Source organism: Homo sapiens, chromosome 13 (assembly GCF_000001405.40).
Source record: "Homo sapiens chromosome 13, GRCh38.p14 Primary Assembly".
Classification (NCBI taxonomy): Eukaryota; Metazoa; Chordata; class Mammalia; order Primates; family Hominidae; genus Homo; species Homo sapiens.
The window spans coordinates 109090697-109106882 of NC_000013.11; the positions used below are offsets into that span (position 1 = coordinate 109090697).

The following is a 16186-nucleotide window of genomic DNA, read 5'->3' on the forward strand; positions in this document are numbered from 1 at the left end:
GAAAAAATGTGCACGTGTAGAGAACAAAATAGATTTCTGTGTGAACTAGAACGTTTTTGACAACTTTGTCTCTGCTTTCATATCCTTTTCCTTAAAAGAAAAAATAACTAGTACTCCCTCCTTAGGGGAAAAGCACTTCTGCAATCCCCGCCCCTCCCCGTCCCATTTCTCTTTCTTATCCTTCCCGGCTCTCCACATTGAAGCAGGTTTTATATCTCTCTCAAGCCCACTTGTGCTCCTTTTTCTTCATACTTCTCTCTGTTTTCTTGATGTATGTCAGTCTTGTTGCTAGGCAGCTGTTATGTTCAACCCACCATGCAGCCTTCTGAATGCTGGAAATTAGCCCCAAATAGCTTGAAAATCACCCTTCCGCACCTGCTTTGTGTTTACTGTGAGAGCTGGAATATGAATATAAGTTCATAGAATGGGGGAAATGCATCCATATGTAGCCATGGGCAGACAGCCACGTTTTTGGTGTGCATGGCAGGTACAGACACCATGCAGTGCCTCAGGGAAAATGCCCAGGAGTGGTTCTAGAAGAAAGGGGACATCCTCATTCTATCAGAGCTAAAATTGCTAAATAAGATGATCTGGTGGAAAATGGAAATATACAAAAATAAATATGAATAGAATGTAGACATTGTGTGTATTTCTACAAATGTTGCTGCCTGCAAGCTTAATCGGTTTTCCCTTGCCTCTGAAAAACAAAAAGCACTCATTGATTCTATTTCACCCTCCAGCTATTGGTCTTTTCTTTGATTGATGTTAAGAACCACCAGCTGCTAGCATCTTGATGCCATCGTAATCTAGTGTCTCCCGTGTCTGACGTTGCCATTGACGCCACAGTCACCAAATCCCACAGCCACCTCAGTGGGCATCTGCTTCTCTTCCTCTGCAGTGCTCAGCACTGGCGACCGCATTTCCAACTTTGCCTTCCCTTGGCTGCTCCAAAATTGGACGGCTCCCATCCAGTCCTTTCTTTCCTGGTCCTCCTTTCCTCTCCCCTTCACCACTCTCTTTCTCTGCCAATCCTCCAATAGGTAACTCCTACGATATTCCATTTTTCTCCTTTAGTTTTTCTCTTTTTATTGATTATTCAGTCTTTCTGGAAGAGCACGAGGTTAATGGTTCTCCCCAAATATTATTTTGTTGTTCACAATGAAGTAATTGGAATATAACCGTAATAAGATAAATAGTATAATATCTTGAAATAAGAAAACCGCATCTTTTCTGAGGTATAATTTTGGTCCAAAAAAGTCTTGCTTTATATTTGACCATGTGCGGTAAAATTAGAATATTGCTTTACACATCTTAGTGATCTTGGCATTTCTTGGCAGATTATGTTTCTCTTAGTAAGTGTTCAATAAATACTTCTCAAGTAGAATTAAATTTCTAAGGGGTTTCAGGACACTGAAACAACATAAGTTTTACTTTCATAACAAAATTTTCCTTGAGAATGAAGCGGTAAAGCCAATATTTAACAAACAAAGACATTTTCAGAGAAAGTGCATCTGAGGTTAATAAACATTAGCTTGAAAAACATACAGTATATTTTCTAAGAAAATGATTCTCCTACTTCCTGATAGTCTTTTTTTAAGTAGTCAATTAAAATTCACTATGTTTTAAAATCAACCTAAATGCCCATCAGTGACAGATTGGATAAAGAAAATGTGGTACATATATGCCATGGAATACTATGCAGCCATAAAAAAGAATGAGGTCATGTCGTTTGTGGAACATGGATGGAGCTGGAAGCCGTTATCCTTAGCAAACCAACAGAGGAACAGAAAACCAAATACTGCGTGTTCTCACTTATAAGTGGGAGTTAAATGATAAGAACTCATGAACACAGAGAAGGGAACCACAGACACTTGAGGGAGAAAGGTGGGAAGAGGGAGAGGAACAGAAAAGATAACTATTGGGTACTGGGCTTAATAGCTGGGTGATGAAATAATAGGTACAACAAACCCCCTGACACATGTTTACCTATGTAACAAACCTTCACATGTACCCCCAAATCTAAAATAAAAGTTAAAAAAAGTCACCATTTTAATCTGAATCCTGTGGTGACTGCATAAGCTGTTTTTATCTCTAGGTCCATGATACATAGGATGTCAAAGTTCTGCTTTATACTGGAAGGAACAATCACTTTTGAAGAGAGAACACTATTTCATCACTTTCCTTGGGTTCTTTACACCTTTTACTAGTTAGATATTCTCTGCCTCTTCAATTTCAGCCTGTTCTTTTAAAAATACAGACTCCAAAATGAAGACTATCTATGATGTGGCTCTTTCACTTATAATTTTGTAAGATACTATGATTTCTGTTTTTTTTAGTGTTATAGTCACAATACGTGAATGTATGGAAGCGTGTTTTTATGCTTGAGTCCTTGATGTTGAGAATGTACTTGACGAATGGGACTCATGTTAGATAAATTTTCATTTAACTATGATAGAACTTTTTTGAAACCCCACACTTAGTATACACTGCCAACTTAGGATGCAGACTGACAAGAAGAAGGGGAAGTTGAAAGTGGTCAGAAACCCATCACAAGAAAAGTGAGGCAAATGGAGCGTCTAACATAACACAGCTTGAGGTTGGAACCCCATGAGGGCATGAGCATTCCGCACCATCACAGAAGCTGCATCCATTTCCCAAATGCTCAGTACTGCCCTGTCCAGTCAGACAGAGGTGTATGGCAGTAAAGAGACCAGCCACAGATAAGTAATTGGCAACCAGCAAGGTAATAAATCTAGTGTGGGGGACTGGCTGACGTTTGGTCAATGTCTCCTTCCGAAGCTCCACCCAAATTTCTCCTTTTTGCTTCTCAGTCACAGTATTTCCCTCCTGTTAAATAGCATTAGTCTGGGGAATAAATGCTCTTCCCTGTCTACTACACTGTGGGAAACGTCAGCCACAGCCTCCAGTTTGTTAGGTCAAAAACCTTGAAGTCATCCTCTCTTCCTGTCGTAGCCACGTTGATCCATTCACCAGAAAATCCGGCTGGGCCTACCCAAATATGTAGAGAGCCCAGCACGTTTTTACCTCTTCCGTCGCCATTGCCTTGGACCAATGCCTCTCACCTGGACTATAGGAAGGTCCTCCAGATGGCAGCCCTGACTCTTTCCTGCCCCTCTCCAGCCGCACTCAGCCTCACAGTATCGATGATGATTTTCTTCACAGTCAAGGAACAGAGCTCCTGGGCTGGAACCTCACACCCAGGAATCAGGGTCTGAGCTGAGGTCCTGACAGTCACCTACAGGATTCTGAGCCTTACCCCATTGCACTAACCTTTCGAAACTCATCTCCTACAACTTTCCTCTCCCTTCCTCTTCTCCAGCCACACTCGACTCCTTGATATTCCCAGAGCAGCCATGCACCACCCCCACTCCACCGGGACTACAGTTCCCCCAGAGAAGCCACAGCTTCCTCCCTCATTGTCAGGTGTCTGCTCACAGTGAAAGCTTTCCTGCTTTATCTTTCTCCACATTTCTCATTTTATTTGACACACTTCCTTATTTACTTTATTTTTTTAAGAGTTGGGGTTTCTGTCATCCAGGCTGGAGTACAATGGTGTGATCATAGCTCACTGCAACCTCAACTTCCTGGGCTCAATCCATCCTCCTGCCTCAGCCTCCTGAGTGGCTGGCAATATAGGTTTGTGCCACCATGTCTGCTTAATTTTTAAAATTTTTGTAGAGATGGGGTCTTGCTGTGTTCCTCAGATTGGTCTCATACTCTTGGCCTCAAGCCATCCTCCTGCCTTAACCTCCCAAGTTGCTAGGACAACAGGCGTGAGCCACTGTTCCCAGCCCTTATTTACTTTTCTTTAAATTATTATTATTATACTTTAAGCTCTGGGATACATGTACAAAACGTACAGGTTTGTTACGTAGGTATACACATGCCATGGTTGTTTGTTGCACCTATCAACCTGTCATCTACATTAGGTATTTCTTCTAATGCTATCCCTCCCCTAGCCCCCAACCCCTTGACAGGCCCCAGTGTGTTCTCATTGTTCAACTCCTACTTATGAGTGAGAACATGTGGTGTTTGGTTTTCTGTTCCTTTGTTAGTTTGCTGAGAATGATGGTTTCCAGCTTCATCCATGTCCCTGCAAAGGACATGAATTCATGCTTTTGTTACGGCTGCATAGTATTCCATGGTGTATATGTGCCACATTTTCTTTATTCAGACTATCACTGATGGGCATTTGGGTTGGTTCCAAGATTGCTTTTTAATTCTAGCTCTCTCTACCATAAAGGGCTTTGGCTGCTATTCCCTGCTACATTCCCAGCACCTAGGAGCATCCCCAGCACAGACTTTGTGCTCAGTCAATACTGGTGAATTGATTGATTGATCCTGAGTAAGTGAACCACAAACCCTGATTCTAGATATGAAAGTAGATAACAGTTGTTCCCCTCATCCCAAACCAGGATAAGACAGGAAGAGCAGGCTGTCTGGAAAGGCTCATGTTTACTTTTTACAGTCCATTGGTTTGCCTCAGACACAGAGCAAGTGAAGCCTAAATATAGGTGTCTTCAGTGGATTGAGGCGACCTGTGTGTCTTGGATGACAGACGCTGGGACAGTGTGGGGAGTGAGAGTGGATAAGTCCCTCTCCAGTTGCTCCTGTGCTCCGGACTCACGTCCTGCTCCAGGCTTGCAAACCGTGTGGCCTCAGATCAAAGTTACTGGGGGAACGTGTTTTAGCTCAGGAATGGAATGTGACCCTGTTTTTCTATCCTGTGACACCACCTATAGAAAACACTCATATTCCAAAAGACAAGATGTTTTACATAACACTAACATAGAGTATGTCATCCTGTCTGAGGTGATCTTTTTCTTTAGTTGAAATGTCAGAATTATACCATTTTAAGTGTCAAAAAAATATTTAAAATGAGAAAAAAGCATCAGGTGCATGATTTTTCATTCTGACTTGTTAATACTATATTCAGATGCTCGAATTATATCAATTAAATTCTTGGTTATAATTAACAAATTTCCAGAATGAGACAATTATGAGAGAGAATTAAAAAAATAACTTGAGTGATTTCATTTCAGTGTATTACTCTGGCTAAATGTTAGAAACACATGGCTTTCCTGAGGGCATGAATGAGTTCACTGTTAAAGAGCCTGCAGGCACCGAAGGCCAACAAACCAAGACTTCTTATTCCTACATGTCCAATATCATAGTGGTTACTGTTGAGTTTTACTTTTTCAGTTTTTAAGGGTAAATCTTATCCTTTTCCACTCTAGAACCATCTAGGATTAGGACTTGTTAGTTGTCATCAAAACTGTAGCAACGGCGATGAAGAGCTTGGCCCTGGAGTTAGATTGTCCTGGGTTCAATTCCAGCTCAGCCACTTTCCTCATCTGTGTCAGCTTCCCAGAGCTGCTGTAACCAAGTACTACAAACTCCATGGCTTAAAGCAGTAGGCATTTCCTCTCCCAGCTCTGGAAGTGAGAAGTTCAACACTGAGTCTCAGCAGGGCTTCCTCTGAAACTCTGGGTGGCATCCGCTCTTGCCTCTTCCTGGTCTCTGGTGGCAGCCATAGATCCTCAGTGTTCCTTGGCTTGCAGCTGTGTCACTGACACCTCTGCCTGCATCACGTGGCCCTCTGCTCTGTGTCTCCCGTGGCGTTTCCCTTTTCTTTTCAGGACATGAGTCATATTGGATTAGGCCCTACCCTAATGATCTCGCCTTAACTTGAGTACTCTCCAAAGACCCTAAACATCACATTCACTTATCTTTGGCGGGGGGACACAGTTCAGCCCATAACAGCATCCCTGTGAACTTGTGTAAGTGAATGAATGTCTACAACCATTATCTGTCTCACTATCAAAAGACGATTGTCATCCAGGCCTGTGTCTGTGAGGAGGATGTGAGGTGATATGAAAAGCCCTTTGCATTCATTCAGGGCTCAAGAAATGCGACTTACCATCTCCTGCTCCACAGCCCCATTTCTTGGCTATCAGTTATTTAAACTTGCTACATTCGAAGGCAAGCTAGGAGACACCATAAAATGTACAAAGATGTCCCCTTACTCTGGGCGAGCTCACACACTTTGAGGAGAGGTCAGAGTTTGTAACACAGAATAGAATTTATGTCTTGTCCGGAGAAACGCAAACAGGCAGCTCTGAGGGAGGGTAGAGCGTTGCTTGTTAGGTGACTTGCCAAGGGCATCATAGCAAACTGGTTACAAAGTGGGACCTAAATCTCAGTTTTCAGATTCCCAATTCAGTTTCTTTCCCATTTGAACACATTGTACAGTTATATCACTTGTCACCTTTTAACCACTCAGACATTATCAAACCTAACCCATGTTTGTTCATAAGAGGTACTGATGTCAGCTGGGCACAGTGGCTCACACCTGTAATCCCAGCACTTTGGGAGGCCAAGGCGGGTGGATCACCTGAGGTCAGCAGTTCGAGACTAGCCTGGCCAACATGTGAAACCCTGTCTCTACTAAAAATACAGAAATTAGTTGGGCGTGGTGGCGGGCACCATTAATCCCATCTACTCAGGAGGCTGAGGCAGGAAAATTGTTTGAACCCAGGAGGCAGAGGTTGCGGTCAGCCGAGATCACACCATTGCACTCCAGCCTGGGCAACAAGAGTGAAACTCTGTTCACTGAGGTACTGATATCATGTGAGAGAATCATTAGGGGATGCCCATAACCTTCTGGGTGGTCCACATGCACTGCCCTTTGCACAGCTTACTCCCGGTTCCCAACCCTCTACATATCCCCCATCATACCCATTTGCCCTGCTCTGTTGTACAGGGGAAATTCCCTTTCTTCTTCTGCAGAAACCCCAATAAAAATTAATAAAGTAAAATAAAATAAAACACACAGCTACCAACTTCAGTACACGGCGTGTAAGAAATCACATTCTTGTCACCTATCAAAAGCAAAACAATTCCTGAATACTTCACCCATCAACAAATCACTGAAGTCCATTTAGTGTGAGTAAAATAATGAGCCACCTTTTTCATATCCTTGCCTCTGGCACTGCAAATTCAGTCTCAGTTACTTCAGCCTCAGTCTCTGTTACTTACCATTTTTTGTATTTTTATGCTTTCCTATACACTAAGTTTGAAACATGAGCAAAAATCCATCTATGAGAAGAAAGGGTGGTTGCTGATACTGATAAATTCATTCTGGTTTTTGGCTAGCAAGATGATGAGGATTCTCAATCCAGGAAAAGTCATACACTGACTTTTCAGTGAGAATGCTGAGGATTTAAGAAAGGAAATAAGAAATGTCTTCAGCTGAGAAGGTAACTGGGTACTGTCTTGGTCAGTTCAATCTGCTTTCCCAAATTACCATAGACTGTGTGGCTCATGAGCAACAGAAAGTTCTCATAGTCCTGGAGGGTGGAAAGTCCGAGATCAAATTGTCAGCAAATTCAGTATTCAGTGGAAGCTCGCCTCCTGGTTTGGAGAGAGAACCTTCTTGTTCTCTCTATGAACTGTGTTCTCACATGGTGTTAGGTTAGTGCAAAAGTAATTGCGGTTCAGGCGTGAATATTAAATCATTATAACTAGAATCAAACACATCTTTATTAATCAAAATAGGAACCATTACAATGAACACATTTTTGCCAATGAGAAGTAAGTTTTGTTTATCCCTGTAGTGTAAAATTCTGTGCTTTGAGAATCGACAAACTCTTGGATAGCATTTTCTGCATCCCGCCACTTGCAGAAGCATTTTCCCTGCAAAAAGTTGTCGAGGTGCTTAAAGAGGTGGTAGATGGTTGGCAAGGGGTCAGGTGAATATGGTGGATGAGGCAAAACTTCATAGCCCAAGTCTTTCCACTTTGGTTGTGTGACGTGTTGTTGGGCGTTGTCATGGAGAAGAATTGGGCCCTTCCTGTTGACCAATACCGGCTGCAGGCGTTGTAGTTTTCCGTGCATCTCATCGATTTGCTGAGCATACTTCTCAGATGTAATGGTTTCGCTGGGATTCAGAAAGCTGTAGTGGATCAGACCAGCAGCAGATCATCAAACAGTGACATGACCTCTTTTTTGGTGCAAATTTGGCTTTAGGAAGTGCTTTGGAGCTGCTTCTTGGTCCAACCACTGAGCTGGTCATCACTGGTTGTCATATAAAATCCACTTTTGTCATACATCATAATCTGATCCAGAAACGGTTCATTGTTGTTGCATAGAATAAGAGAAAATAATACTTTGAAACTACATTTTTTTAATTCTCACTTAGTTCATGAGTCACCCACTTATCAAGCTTTTTCACCATTCCAATTTTCTTCAAATGTCAAACGACCCTAGAATGTTCGACCTTGAGTTCTTTGGCAACTTCTCATGTAGTTGTAAGACGATCAGCTTCGATGACTGCTCTCAGTTGGTCATTGTCAACTTCCAATGGTCAGCCACTGCACTCCTCATCTTCAAGGCTCTCGTCTCTTTAGCAAAACGTCTTGAACCACCACTGCACTGTATGTTCATTAGCAGCTCCTGAGCCAAATGCATTGTTGGTGTTGTGAGTTGCCTCTGCTCTTTTGTGACCCATTTGGAACCCAAATAAGAAAATCGCTCAAATTTGCTTTTTATCTAACATTATTCTCATAGGCTAAAATAAATATAAAATAAACAGCAAGTAATAAGTCATTCGCAAAAAACATAAAGCAAGAAATGCACACTAACATGATGTATAGCATAACCACATTTATTTAAGAATGTATTCCAATATCAAACGGCAAATTTCAACAATGCGAAAACCACAATTACATTTACACTGACCTAATAGGAAGGAATAAGTCTGTTCTCTTCAGCCTCCTCTAAGCGCACTAATCCCATTCATGAAAGCTCCACCCTCATGACTTAATCACCTGTCAAAGGCCCCACCTCTTAATATCATCATATTGGGGGTTAGGATTTGAACGTAGGGACCTTGAGATACATTCTATCCATGGCAGGTGTGTTTCCCAGCCTATGTTACACACCAGACTGTACTGCCGCACATGTGAGCCCTCGTTTACCCACAGTACCTGCCAAAATAAGACACACGTGTGATTCCCATGTGGCTGTCCATGAGACATGTCCCATACTCCCACTACTTGCTCTGAGGAAAGCAAGTAAATAAAGATGTGTAGGCAAAACACTCCCTCCCTTAATTGCACTAAGGAAACTGAATAAACTCATTTTAGAAGATACCAAATTTACTGCAGTGAACTTTAGATGAAACACTAAGGTATTAAACAGAAAATAACAGAAAACTGATGACTTCAGCTTTGGCATTGCGTTTCCTTCGGCTTGCGGAACAGCCGAACATGAGAATCATAAACACAGAAGGCAACAGGATGCAACTGCATAGATCTTTGCTCATTTCCTTTCTGGTTTTCTCCTCTTCCTCCTCCTCCATTGCAACCTTGCCTGTATCTCAGGTTAACCACTGTAAGTGCAAAGGGAATTTTACATAGATTTTTTTTAAATGGATGATGTAATTTTAAAAGTCATTTTTGAAAAACCTGTAGGAAACTATTATATTGCCATGAATTTCAGCTAGGGAATGAAAGTCAATTGCTCACTGATACTTTACAAAATAAAAATGTCCCAGAATATTTGAAATATTCGATATATAATATATGGGGAAGAAGCGATTCTACCTCTCAAATAAGTATTCTGAATGGACGTTTTGGTATTCCATTATTATGGACTCTAGTTACATCTGAATTCACGCTTAAGTGGCCATAAAGAATGCTCAAATTTCTTAAGAGGTATGTTTTTAAAGAGCATGCCAAATGTTTAAAAATGGCTACTGGATTAATTTTCATTCCTTTCAAATTTCCTTTGGTTAAATGGTTTGAAGTGCTTCATGACAGTGCTAAACATATATTAGAGGACTGAAAAATATATTTGACGCGTTGTAAAAACCATTTCCCTTATAAAAGATAAGGATTCTTTCCAGTTCCCTAGTAAATGCACAATGGACAGGTATTTGGCTGTTCCTGGGATAAAGAAAGACGGGGAAACTTTTGGGAAACGATGTAACAAAGACAGCCCTGTTGAATGTGATCATGTGCTTGGCAAATGCAGTCATTGCTTTCTGTCTCTGCTGCTTTTCACAGGTATAAGCCACTGGCTGATACATTCCTGCGTGAGAAGAAGGAACAGTCAGCTGCCGAGCGATGTCGACTTGTTCTCCAGCAGTGTAAATTACAAGGCTGGCAGGTTGGTGACCTACAAGCTATGAAAATAACATTTTAGGATTTTAAATAAATGAGCTGAGTCATTGCAGGGAGCCACCAGAATCTTCCTGGCAAAAACAAATTCCTTTGATGTGTTTGGCAAGGCGTGACATTAAGTGTATTCCCTGGAAATTTGTCATTCTTTATGACTTACCGATTTTAACATCTTGCAGCCAACATGAGAGGAAATCTAACAGGCTCCCTTTACAACATGACAGAAGCTTATGAGCCCCATTCTGTTTGCCCGTGTGTCAGATTCATACCTTGTCAGTAAAGCATTTTGTCATATTTACCCATAGCAGGAGTCAGAGGAGCCAAAATTGAAGAACTAAGGTTGATTTCTTTGTGCAGAGTTGGTCTCTCATAAGTGCATGTTCAACCTGGACTTCCCCAGCTCGTTCACGTCTCAGTCAGCTCCCCTTTTTTTCTGTTTCTCTTTGCCCTGCTTCTCACCTGCCATACAGTGAAAATGTCACCATCCTTTGAAGCCCATTTGTTGGCAAAAGCTTCATAATTGGAAACACTTTATTATAGTCTGTGATCCATTTGAATGGTAGACCCTAGGGGCCAATGAAAGCTACAGCTAGACTTGCAGAAAAAGAAAATAACCTGAGACAAAATTACAGGCAAATGTTTACCAGAAACAGGAGAAGATGGTTCCAGATTTTGTAAATACCTTCAACAACATCAGAGTCCATCCTTGACTCATTTTAGGAAGTAGAGGTTTGAAGTGAGAAGGGCAGATTAGAGCAACAATGGGAAACCACGCAGTCCATGACACCAGAAATTATTTGGAAGTTTCTTGCTGTAAAACCACCAAAAGTGCATAGGTGGCAAAAACAAATGGTAGCTAAAAGCTTTGATAAAAATATGACGATTACTGGAAAGTAGACATAAATTGCATCTTTAAAAAGTGATAGGGAGAATATCTATGAGTAAAAATATATGATAATTGATGAGTCAAAGGATGGGGACTTGGCTTTAGAAATGACATGAGCTGATGATTCAGAATTGCTGAATAGGTCCAAAAGTGGCCCAGTCTAAGTAAAACAGGGAGGGAAGACTGGATTGACACTCGCACACTCATCTGTCTATGACAAAGAACAAAGAACCTAGAATTTTGGCATTGATGAGTAATGATTTAATTGTCTGTGCCACCCAATCTTTTTCTTTGTTATCTTTTTTCCTTTTCTTTTTTTTTTAACTAATAATGAAATTTGAACTTTAAATAACAATCTGAAGGAGGAAGCTTACTCAGTCTGAAGTTGTCAGTGATGCACATCAGTGCCAAAAGATTGGATAAAAAGGGAAGGAGGAAGAAGGAGGAATTACTAACCAAAAGTGATGTCTGCCAACCCCTCCAGAGTCAGTGACATAGGGGTGGGATTCACATATATCAGCATTTATTCTGTCTATAGGTAACTGAAGTCAGTTCAATGGAATCATTACTGAGATTTTGAATAAGTAATTATATAGTAGTAGTCCACGGATGATGTAACACTAAGATATTCTTATTGTATTATTTTGCTTTTAAAGACTACTTACAGATAATGATATACATATATGTATATGTATGTGTATATATGTATATGTGTGTGTGTGTGTATATATATATATATATCTGTGAGATAGATGTATGTGTATGAGGGAGAGAGAGAGGGAGAATTTTTATTTGTAGAAGAAAGCAAGGGAATCTGTAATAATTATTTCACTAAGAGAGTGATTGGCAGTAACCACAATATCTGAGCAGTGGTCCCTCTGATAGACCACTGTAAAGTACAGGTCAAATATGAGAGGAGACCAGAAGACAAATTGGTAAGCCCTGCCAGCCATCATTTCTTCTATATTGGTGCTTTTGCTAGGATTGCAGCTGAGGATAGCATTAAATTGAAACATACATTGGGACTTTCAACAAGAGCATTAAAATTTATTTTAAATGGGAAAGGGATCCCATTTCATGGCACTAATCTATTTTCTCCACACTTTTCACCTGCCTAAAAGAAGCTGAAAACACAAGACAAAAAAATTAAAAGGAAAGAGAAATAAATGTGCTCATTCACTGAGTATATTTGCTTATGAGTTCCCTGTTGTCTAGTCAGAAAAGACAGTATTTCTTCAGCTTCTTCACGATGTAACCTATGATATACTTTATACTACCAGACAAATAATCAACTTCACAGAAATGAAGCATATTCATACTTCACTTTTATATTGGTCTGACAAAGGAAAAAAAGATTTTGTTAAAAAATAAATAAATAAAACAAAAAACACTCATTCCTAACCTGGAAAGTTAGACTCCTCAGTTTCAAAAGCAAAGCATTTTTTAGATATGTGTTGCTAATTACAGAAAGAATTCCTCCTAGTCAATTCTGTTTTTAATTAATACAGGGATTCAATCAGAAGCTGTTAGGCTGCAGGGACAACAAGGTTGTATCGGATGGTTATTCTATCTGTAGCATTATTTCCAAATTGCTAAGAGTTATAATGTGTGTTTTCATTAACCAGTCAGTTCATCCTTTAGTCCTGAGTGGTTAGCATGAAATGAATGGTTACTCTTTTCCATATTTTTAAAAGCAGTGCTGGAGGACAGAAGTGATTAGAATTATATTTTGCTGTGTTAAGTGGTATACAGTGTTAGCTAGAAATTCATTTCTTTTAACTGAAAATAGTAATTTCGTTGTCATTCTAATGCGTCTTGGAGATCTGGCAGGTTTTCTCTTCTCTCTTTAACTTTAATCAGACCCTGTAGAAGGAAAGCCTTGAATCATCAATATGAGATGGTAACTCTGTAATTCTTATACTCTCCAACATTGTAGCAATTCAGTAAGCCTTGGTGCACATTTGATTTCCTTCTGTTTCAGATGAGGATAGAGATGTGGTATCTTCAGTACTATTACTTTTGTATGCCGATCTATGCACCTGTGTCTGCTTTTCATGCTTTAGGTAGTCACAGGTTTGTAGTCGCACATGAGGTACTGGAATTTTTAGTATTTAATAAAAAATAATTCCTCTCATCTACAGAGTATATTACAACTATTCATAGTTTTTATTTTATTTTATTTGAGCCTAATAACTCTATGCAGAAAAGGAAAGTAGACAGCACGTACAGGAGTGACCTTATTTTAGATTTGAGGTAATGGAACGTCACAGAGAGCCCTTGTCTTAATTAGAGATCAGTGTACTGATCAAAATACTAGGTGCAGTTAATATTCAGTTTCAGTGGGAGTGCCACTTTGCTGAGACCAACGTCTAGCTTTTCCTATGTCATGTTCTTTCCACTGCATTTAACTCAATCTGTATCTTCTAATATAACTATCTGAAGTCATTTTGCTCATATTACAGGACTTGGAAGGGGTAGATTATGCATCACAGTACAAGCTTTGATCAAAGGCACTTATACCGTTTATTCATCTGAGCAGCCTGCCCCTTGTACAGTGTCTTTTTTATGTTTATAATTCACCCAGCAAATGAAGGAAAAACAAGCAGACTACTTCCCATTACAGGGTGACTCTGATCAGAATCCTTTTCAACCCAAACTGTCAATCAAACTGACCCTGAAATAGCACAATGCCTTTGCACCCTCATTCCCAACTACATCTTGGAAACAAGAGGAGAAGGAAAAGGAGGAGTAAGGAAAGGAGACGATAGAGAAGGAGAAGAACTGGAATCAAGTGAAGAGTCTCAGGAAGCATTTGATGTCAATTCTAATTCTGAGGGTTAAGACCTAGATGTGACTCAGGCCATCCAGAGGAAAGGACAGGGGTGGGGGCAACTCATAGGCGGTGCTGGTGGAAATGCATGTCAAAGGAGCATCGCTGCACCTTCGCAGCTAGAGCAAAGGCAGTTTGAAAACAGTTTATTAGGCTATTCCGCAGATCCACACAGTTTACAGTATACCGAGTTTTGCTCACGTGCCAATTCTCAGCGAGACATTCCCTGGCTACTAGATTTTAAATTCTCACTATCCTCGACCTTCGTACTGCATCTTCTCATCCTCTTCTCTGCTTTGTTCTCCTCCATGGTGCCTGGGACCTTCTGTTACGCTTCAGATTGCAGTCCTTAACATGCTGTTCACCACCTTTCCTCCATAGCGTGGGAACTCCATCACGAGGGCTTTGTGTCTGCAGCTTACTGCTGCATCCCCAGCATAGAAGCCAGAGAAAGACACAGGACAGACACTCTGTGCCTGGATGCTGGGCCAAGAAATGAGTTTCTGTAAATAAGAAACTACCAAACAATACAGTACACTTGATGTGGATGCAAAGACATGTAAGAATTTTTACAGGCTGGGCGCAGTGGCTCATGCCTATAATACCAGCACTTTGAGAGGCTGAGGCGAGTGTATCACCTGGGATCAGGAGTTCAAGACCAGTCTGGCCAACATGGTGAAACCCTGTCTCTACTAAAAATACAAAAAAATAGCCAGGGATGGTCGTGGGCGCCTGTAATTCCAGCTACTTGGTAGGCTGAGGCAGGAGAATTACTTGAACCTGGGAGGTGGACGTTGTAGTGAGCAGAGATTGTGCCATTGCACTCCAGCCTGGACAACAAGAGTGAAACTCCATCTCAAAACAAACAAACAAAAAACTTTTTAAAATTTATTGTTTTGAAATGAAATAAGAATCCAATGGATTTTTAGCTTTATATCTACGTGTATAAGATACATGTATTAATGCATTAATTCTATAATTAAAAATAATTTTAAAATTTTGAAACTACTACATAAATGTAATTTTAGCATAGAATACTATATAGGGTCAAATTAATTATTTTAAACATTTGTGAGAAAGCTGTAAGTCACACTGCATTTTGCACCAAAACATTTTTGTGTTCCAATATATAATTTCTGTTGTGTCTTTTATACCACTAGACTGTACTTCTCAAAGGAATCTTGTGCCCTTTTTCATAGAATTTGAACTGGTCACCATAAGTTTTGGCAAAGTCATACATGTTGCTGTTTCCTTAACATACTCAAAATTGCTACTTTTACATAATGTGGTTTGATTTTGAAGAAAGGAAAATCAGGATGTAGTGGTGGCTAGAAGGGAATCTTTCACGTTGGTGGCTTCTTATGTTTACAGTGAAATGACATATTTTAAAAACATGGTGGACTAGTCAGAGCCACGTCCTTATTTGCAAAGTGGGATTTATGTAACTTGTTTGCAAAAAGGAATGGAAGTATTTTGAAATGATTTGAGTAAGACCTGCATGACTAACTTCTAGTGCTGTTTTCTGTCGCAGCAGATATAGTTTTCTTTATGAAACGAAGAGTTCATGGATTACCTCACTATGGAAAAATATCCAAATAGTTTGAATTAATTCCTGGTTTGAAAACAAGTTAAATTAAGCCAGTAGTTATTAACCATCTGCTATTTGTTTCATTATTGTTATTATTCAGGTATTTTCCTTATCTGAACATATGCATTTTAAATTCAGTGCTATCTTAAGGTAACTTGGAAAGGATCCCTCTGGAACTGTGTATAGTTAATCAAAGACTATTTGCCCGAATTTCTCCAAGCCACAGAAGAGTGACTGGACAGCAGTTAGGCCCCTGTGGAACATGCTTGTTTTTCATGTTATATCATTTATGTAAAATGAAAACCTCTGAAGCTAATTCTAAGTGGAAAAATAAGTGGTATAATCTGATTTTCACACATTTTATATGCATCAACTGGTTATAGGATGATTTCTTCTGTGTAGTTATTTGAATGCTATATTCATTTTAAAGCCATCTGGAGGGATGACGAATGAAGAAACAAATCTGTCAGAGTCGGTCCATGTGATACCAGGGGTGCTGCTTCGGAACACAGGCACTCACACAGCACTGGGAGAGTCGAGAGGGGCACTGCACCGATGTGGCTCTGTGCAGAAAGGCTTTCCCAGTGGTACTTTTCACTGATAGTTCAAGAAGATGTCGAGAACTTCGGGGTGAAAGAAGTTTTGTGGGTAGGCAAAGAAGAGTGGCCTGTGTGTCCCGT

General features: G+C 40.3%; 1 protein-coding gene and 1 long non-coding RNA gene across 8 annotated transcripts in view, besides 1 other annotated feature; one reads left to right on the top strand and one right to left on the bottom strand.

Annotated features, from left to right (window-relative positions):
• The window catches only part of MYO16 (myosin XVI), a 712290-nt gene that overhangs the window by 594981 nt on the left and 101123 nt on the right, over nt 1–16186 (top strand). For all 7 annotated transcript variants that reach the window (XM_011521062.2, XM_047430183.1, NM_015011.3 and 4 more), the window contains one exon: nt 10089–10191. In XM_011521062.2, coding sequence (XP_011519364.1) covers nt 10089–10191 — 103 coding nt within the window. The remainder of the gene's footprint in view (nt 1–10088; nt 10192–16186) is intronic.
• Nucleotides 9754–10953: an enhancer, noted in NCBI's record as "MED14-independent group 3 enhancer chr13:109752798-109753997 (GRCh37/hg19 assembly coordinates)". NCBI's record gives its function as "activates an origin of replication core promoter dependent on BRD2, BRD4, P300/CBP and CDK7 cofactors, and independent of MED14, by STARR-seq in HCT116 cells {active_cell/tissue: HCT116}" and the evidence as "EXISTENCE:reporter gene assay evidence [ECO:0000049][PMID:35650434]".
• Nucleotides 9859–11262, bottom strand: MYO16-AS2 (MYO16 antisense RNA 2). The gene is made up of 3 exons (NR_046538.1): nt 10847–11262; nt 10502–10661; nt 9859–10113 (listed from the first exon to the last, which is right to left on the bottom strand). It is a non-coding gene; the product is annotated as an MYO16 antisense RNA 2 (long non-coding RNA).